This window comes from Homo sapiens, chromosome 4, assembly GCF_000001405.40.
Source record: "Homo sapiens chromosome 4, GRCh38.p14 Primary Assembly".
In the NCBI taxonomy this organism is placed as follows: Eukaryota; Metazoa; Chordata; class Mammalia; order Primates; family Hominidae; genus Homo; species Homo sapiens.
In genome coordinates, this window is record NC_000004.12 from 125,517,143 (window position 1) to 125,525,085 (window position 7,943).

General features: G+C 34.3%; 1 annotated feature.

The window, feature by feature from the left end:
* Positions 1,535 to 3,717: an enhancer, noted in NCBI's record as "VISTA enhancer hs1389". NCBI's record gives its function as "enhancer in: forebrain[4/6] | ear[5/6]" and the evidence as "EXISTENCE:transgenic organism evidence [ECO:0001131][PMID:17130149]".

A 7,943-nucleotide genomic window follows, 5' to 3' on the forward strand; every position in this document is an offset into this window, starting at 1 on the left:
AGAAGTTTAAGAAAGCACCCAAAGTTTTCTGACACAGCACAAGCTGAGATGTGATCTTACTAAATGGGATATCTTTGTAATTATCATTTTATATATGAGGAATAAATTCCATGTTTAACAGACAGGTGTTTGAAGTGGCTACTTTTTCATTGGGTAAACTCATAAAGAAGAAATGTGATCCTATAGAGTCTTAATGGAAAGGATTACATTAGATATGTAGAATTCTTTAAGATTTATGGAAACACACACACATGCACCCTACAAAAACACACAATGTGTACTCAAACTCATACAACAAGTGTGTGTTTATTTTATTAGTATTTCTGGATGTTCCAACCATCTCATGTTTGTAATGTGGGAAAGTGAAGGAGATAATGCAACAAAATTATTAAGAACATGGAGTTTGGTGTCAGATTAAATAAAATTTTAATGTGTGTAACTTTGAGAAATTTACATAACTTTTTGCATTCTAGTATTCCTATTAAGTAAGCAGGATGAGAATTTCAAGGGTGCCTACAATATATGGTAGTTGTAAGGGCTAAATGGGATAATCCACGTGAGAAGCTGAGCTCAGAGTTTGGCACATAGTAAGTGCTTAATAAGAATTGGTTATGATACTTTTTATTAATCAGTCCTCAATCTAAGTTTTAAAAAGAATAATAACCCATTAACATTAATTCATTGCCAACATATTACAAAATACTCCAGAAGTGTCTGCATTACAAAGTAGCCTTCCCCACCAAGGGAGTGCTTCCTTTTCAATGTTTTGCAGTTAAATAAAATCATAAGGTTTGAGAGAGATGGTTTTTTAAAAATATTGGCAGGGGGCCTGGAATTTTTAAAAAAATAATAATAATTCTTATCGTCCTTTCAATCATCTGTGCCTCTCCAATCACTGCCAAAACACTTCTTTGTTACCATAGAGACCCATAGCGATTATTCATATATTAAATAACAAAAGTTGTTCAACAAGAATAGAATTGAGGACAAGGCACTCCTGTTTAAATTCCTTAGTTAGATTTAGTTTTGCCAGAATATAGTCCTGAAGATTTGAACATATGGAGTCTTCTGCAAGTTTAATCAGAAAGCAAATTTTGGTCCTTGAAATACACTATAACCAGTATATTGCATAAGTGGGATTCATCGGGTATGATTAGAAATTATATTTTCTTCTTTAATGATTGCCCCAGCATAGCCATTCTCTATTAGATAGTTCTTGCTTACATTGGTGCATACAATCAAGAGATTTTTCTAGATGCTCTCAGATAATAAAATACTCTTTGGTGGTGTTAATCTCTCAGACAGTCTCAATTCATAATGTTCTTTTATTATGTTAATGTGCTTAGTACTATAAAGTAGTAAAAATCCTATACTCCTTTTAAAGGAAAATCTCCTGGTCTCTACTGGTTTTCTGTGTGTATTTGTGGTGGATGAGTTTCCAGTATGCACAGTAAACCCACTCTAAAGAATTCCTCCAAATTCCAACATTCCTACCTCCTCAATTTTACCATCTAAACAGGTGAAAGGGTTAAGAGCCAAGACCACAAAGGTGTTAACCCCCACCCTTGGCACACACCGCATAGGTGTTTTATTGAACTTTATTTTAAAATTAGGGAGAAACTGGGGTTTAATGTTTTGGAAACTTAGTTGAAATGCTTTGCTTTTTAACATTCTGTTGTATAGACTAATAAACTGTGCAGTATATCTTCTTATAATAGATAGGACAAGGGCCAGATATTTTAAGGCAGTTTTTTTCTAGTTCTCCTGTTTAGTTTGGCTATACTAACTTTTGTTTGCATGCTTTCTAATTAGTAAATTATCATTTAATTCCATGCAGCCATTCTTTAAGACAGTAATGTGAGATGTTACCAGAAAAAAATTAATACAGCTTCTCTAAATTACCGAATGCTGTAGATACTGTATTTCTTCTACTTTCCCTTCCTTCCTCTTTTTCTTTCTCTCCTTCTTCAACAAAAATAATAAGAACAACTATTAACTTAAAACTTTCTCTTTCTCAGGCAAAGTATTGAAGTGTATATATTAACCCTTGAAATTTGACTTAAGCATAATATTCAGCAACACTAAATATCCCACTATAATGTATATCCAGAGAGTGAAGTCCAAGAAGCAAACGTCGTAAGTTTCTGCCAATGCTTCAGAAAATTAATTCCTCTAAGCACAATTATTTATCAGTTTCTATTTTCTGATAAAACTCTGGACTACTTTTGCAAAGTTGCCATGGGTAATTCTTATTACTTTGAGAAGAGAGGAAGGCATTTTGTTCATGTAAGAATCCGGGAAATTTTTGTCCAGCGGAAAATATTCCATTCTTTCTTTACAAACTGCAACAGCAACACCTCCCACCTGTCAGAGTTATATATTCACCAACAAGAGAGTTTAATCATTTTCCCAAGCTTGTATGGTAGGCTCAGGCCCCTCCTCATGCAGCGTACAATGTGGAGGAAAGTACATATGCATGAGGAAGAGACTCATTAACTCTATGGCAAGTCGTGGTTCAAAGTACCTATTTTGTGGAGGATCAAAAAGGTTATGTAACTCTCATTTTAATCAACATTTCCAAAATTAGACTTGTTTTCTTTTAAAAAGGACGGGGGAATAAAAGCAGAGATTATTCCTGTTAATAGTGTCAAATACACTTACAGGCAGACATTTGAAAATAAAAAATCTTACGTGCAGATTTTCAAGGCCTTAAAGCTTTTCAAATAAATGTATGCACCATTAGCATTCACTCAGCTATACAGGCTTTGATCTTCCTTTAAAAGAAGTGAGGGGAAGAAAGAAGGGAGCAAAATAAAGAAGTGAGAAGTGAAGCTGTCAGCAATCTGAATGCTGCCAATTATTACACTGCTTATAAAGAGCTAATTAAACTCAACTGCTTCCAAGAAGAATCATTTTTACTCTTTTTTGTGATCTCATTTTATTTGCACTGTAAAGAAACTTAATTATTGATAAGACCCATGTTGCAAGCTGAAATGTTAATGTCTTTCTACAATAATGGTACCATTCCTTTAGTACACTCCAGTTCAGGCTATCTGGTATTTCTGGGTTAAGAATTCGAGTCTAATGACATAAGCCTTAAGCTCAGTTTCAACAGTTTGCAAATAAAATGTAGAATTACTGAATTTATATCTGCTTCTCCAGTTCTCTCTCGGTATTCTTAGCAGGACATAAATATAACCTATTCATTAATATTTCCAGCAAATGAATAATTTTCCAGCAATACACTCAAGACCTGTGAGTCATTCTAAATAAATTCTTTCCTCTACCTTATCTCCCCACTTTAATGGTCAAGCCGTGTTTATAACTTCGTACTATCACTGAAATGGTTTCCTTTCTTCCTGTTTCTACTGGCTCTCTCTTTGTTCAGGCCCTTATTTCTTCTTGGAAATTATTGAAATTTACCCTCAATTGCTGGTTTTGATTTCCACATTGAAGAGTCTCCTCAACAATTCTTTTATTACTGGAAGTGAAATAATCTTGCTTTTAGAACATTTAATAATTATAAAAAATAAAGTACAGAAAACTTTGCAGATTGAAATTGTGCAGATTTTGTACAGATGCATTCTTTCACGAAGTGAACATCTGTGGAACTACGACTACCCAGGTCAAGAAGTCAACACTGACAGACCACAGAATTTCCCTTCATGCCAACACAGATAGAACACAAAATTTCCCTTCATGCCACCAATTCCATAAACCCAGTGCCTATCCAAATATCTTGTTCACTTTCTATGGGATCACCTTTTTCTTACTTATGTATATTATGATAAGCTATTTGTTTGTCACATGTGTGATAAATACCTTATCCCTCTCCTTAGCTTGTCTTTTTATCCTCTTTATACTCTTAATGAACAGAAGTCTAAAATTTTGAGTGCATGACTTTTTAATGATTGCCATTCTAACTGGTGTGAGATGGTATCTCATTGTGGTTTTGATTTGCATTTCTCTGATGGCCAGTGATGATGAGCATTTTTTCATGTGTCTTTTGGCTGCATAAATGTCTTCTTTTGAGGAGTGTCTGCTCATATCCTTCACCCACTTTTTGATGGGGTTGTTTTTTTTTTTTCTTGTAAATTTGTTTGAGTTCTTTGTAGATTCTGGATATTAGCCCTTTGTCAGATGAGTAGATTGTAAAAATTTTCTCCCATTCTGTAGGTTGCCTGTTCACTCTGATGGTAGTTTCTTTTGCCATGCAGAAGCTCTTTAGTTTAATTAGATTTGTCAATTTTGGCTTTTGTTGCCATTGCTTTTGGTGTTTTAGTCATGAATTCCTTGCCCATGCCTATGTCCTGAATGGTATTGCCTAGGTTTTCTTCTAGGGTTTTTATGGTCTTAGGTCTAACATTTAAGTCTTAGTCCATCTTGAATTAATTTTTGTATAAGGTGTAAGGAAGGGATCCAGTTTTTCAGCTTTCTGCTTATGGCTAGCCAGTTTTCCCAGCACCATTTATTACATAGAGAATCCTTTCTTATATCATAGTAAATGACTTAATGCTTAATGTAACTTCATAATAGCTTTTAAAATTAATTAGAATAAGTCTTTCCAATTTGTTTTTCTTTTTCAATTTTTTTTGGTTATTCTAACTGCTTTGCTGTATACTAACTTTAGATCAACTTATCAAGTTTTAATTGGGATTGCATTGGTTATATAAACATTTGGGAGAGAATCTATTTTGTACTAGTCTTTTAAAACATGAAGATATTTTTAATCCACTTATTTAGGTTTCAAACATTTCTACTAATAACTTTTTATTCCTTTGCATAGAGGTCATAAAGGTCTTCCACATCTTTCATAATATCAAGTTATATTTATTTGAAATATTTTAAAACTATTGTTGCTATATATATAGATTGATAGCCATTTAATTATTCAGACGTTTATGTTTAGAAATAAAACAGACACTTTATATTAAACTCTGGCCACATTTTACAAATAACATCTTAATTCCAGTAATGTATTTGTAAACTTTTGAATTTTTAAGGTACATGCTTGTAAAATCTTCCAATAATGATATATTTACTTATGCATTTCAATTATATAACTTTTATTTCTTTTTCTTGCTATGCTGTGCTGGCAATAACATCTGTTACATTTGTAAAAAGCAGGGAGATATAGTAGTAGACGTCTATTTTTTTTCCTGCTCTCAAAGGAAACGTTTTCACCATTAAATACCAGGCTCATAGAATGCTATAGACACACTTTGTCATAAGGAAGCTCCTGTGTAATATTTGTCTTGTAATATGTTTTTTCTTTAGCATGAGCAGTTGTTGAATTTATCAAATCCTTTTTCTGTATCTTCTGTTGATTGTGTGATTTTTTTGTTATGTTAATGCAGTACATTTCATCAATTGACATTTCAATACTAAAATAAACTTGTAATTCTGTAATAAACCCAAAATAGTAAAAACAAACAAACAAACAAACAAACAAAAAAACAGTATTGGTATGGACAGGAGGCAGAAGGTGGGGTCCCTGGTGAGGGCTCCACCCTCAAGCCTGGAGCTATGGCTCTAAATGAGAACAGGCATTCCTGTTTTTCCGCCCAAATGTTGCCTTTTCCAAGACCACTCTGGCCTGCCCTACTCACTATGCTGTGCGCATAAGAACCTCAAACTCCAGGCTCCAAGAGCAGAATCGCGGCAGAGTGGCGTGGCAGAGAAGGAGAGAAGAGAAGGATATGAAAGTCGAAGAAGCAGCTGGACGGTGGGAGAGGAGTTCGGCCATTTCCCAACTCCAGGGAAGATTATCGTCCCACTCCATCAGCTTTCCAGCATCCCATCCCACTGAGAACCACTTCCACACTCAATAAAATCTCTGCATTCACTGTCCGTTAAGTCCCTGTGACCTGATTCTTCCTGGATGTCAGACAAGAACCCAGGTACCAAGAGGGCAGGGTGTATGTCACCCTGACTCTCCACTGGGCTGGTTAACACTTAAGCTATTTGCCGACCGCAACTGCATTGTTTGTAACACATGCCCTCTGGGGCTCCAGAGGTTGCAGACAACCGCTAGACACTGCTGCTGGCTGGTACAGGTGTCATTCCTGCCGGAGCCTAAAGGCACTCACTCCGGCTCCCTCACCCGCCCACTCCCTGGGTGCGCCTGCTGCCACAAAAGGTTTGAGCTCGACCTATGATCAAAACCAGCCACCCCCTCCCCTCACGAGGGGGTCAGAGAACTCTCCTGTCTCAGCATCATTTTTTAATGTTTATTGTATTTGATTCAATATATATTTTTAAACGTTTGCATCTAATTAATGAATAGGTTGACGTGTAAACATTATTTTTTATAATATCTTTCAGGTTTTGCTGTCAAGGGCTAACTTTATAAAGTGACTTGAGAGCGTTCTCTCTTTTTTTATTTACTCCTAGAGTCTGTGGGAAAATCCATTATTTCTTTTTAAATATTTCAGGTGCAATTGCTGGTCAAATAACCTAAGCATAGGGTTTTCTTTGTGAAAATATGTTACTAATGCTTTTATTTCAATGGAACTGTTCATATTTTCATTTTTAATTGGTCAGTATTGGTTGTCAGTATGGATTTTGATTTCAGAATCATTCAGTTTCATCTAAATTTGGAAATTAACCTGCATAAGATTAACCGTACTATTATCATATTATTTATTATATATAATATATACATCAGTGATATAATAATATAATATTTGCTGTTATATTATATCGTTATTTTATTATCTGGTTGATTTTTAGTATTCTCTCCTATTTATTACTGATATTGCTTAATTATGACCTCTTCTTTTATTCTTCTAAAGTTTTACCAATATTTTATTGTCTTTAAAAATCTTTTCATCAAATCATTCTTGCCTTTGTTAATCCTTTTGTCCCACGACTGTTTTCTGTTTCACCATGTTCTGTTGTTTTCATTATCTTTTTTCTTTTACTTTTATTTTGGATTGGCAGTGCTGTTTATTTGCTTTGTTCTAAATTTCCAATTGAATTTTAGTGTTTCTTCTTTCCCAATACATATGGCTAAGGACATAATTGCCTTTAAGTATGCCAAAAAATGTTAATATGTAGCATGTAAGCACTAATAATCATTTGTTTATGAATAGTTTCCAATATTGACTGTGATTTCTTCTCTGACCTCTGAGTTATCTAGAAATATATTGTCTCATTTAAGAACATATGATTTTCTCTAGTTACTTTTGTATATTCATCTTGTTTTATTATATTATGGTCAGATTAAATCTTCTATATTATTTTAAGTTTCTGAAGTTTAATGAAACAAACTTTAGGCCTAAAACATGGTTATTATTTTGTTTATGTTCTGTGTGTTTGAAAATAATGCACTTATTGCAATTTGAGAAATTAGAGTCCTTTCTATATCCATTAATTTAAGTTTGCAATCATGTTGTTCAAATTGACACAGTAATGGAGGAAGCTAGAAGAAAAAAAGAATAGTCAGGAATTATAAGCTGGGCATGGTGGCTCACACCTATAATCCCAGCACTTTAGAAGGCTGAGGTGGGAGGATAGTTTGACCCCAAGAGTTCAAGACCAGCCTGGGCAACATAGCAAGACCCCATCTCAAAATAAATAAATAAATAAATAAATATAAAACAAAAAAGAAAAAGGAATTGTTGCAATCACTCATGGAGAGGTGAGGTTAGCCTAAACTAGCCTGTTACTGGAGGATGGCGTGGGAAATGATTGTTGGAGTCTAGTAGACTTTTCTACTTTAAACTTAAATCCCCCAAACCAGGCTCCTCATATTGTATCCCACTGCGCTACCTACCCCTGTAATAACTTCTTTAATGATCTTCCTCATCTCAGTAAATAGAACTCCATTCCTTCCATTGTTTAGTTCAAATATCTTGAAATCATCCCTGACTGCTCTCTTTCTTTAACACCTCAGATCACACTGTCAGTGAATCACATTATTATATCTTTAAAATATATCT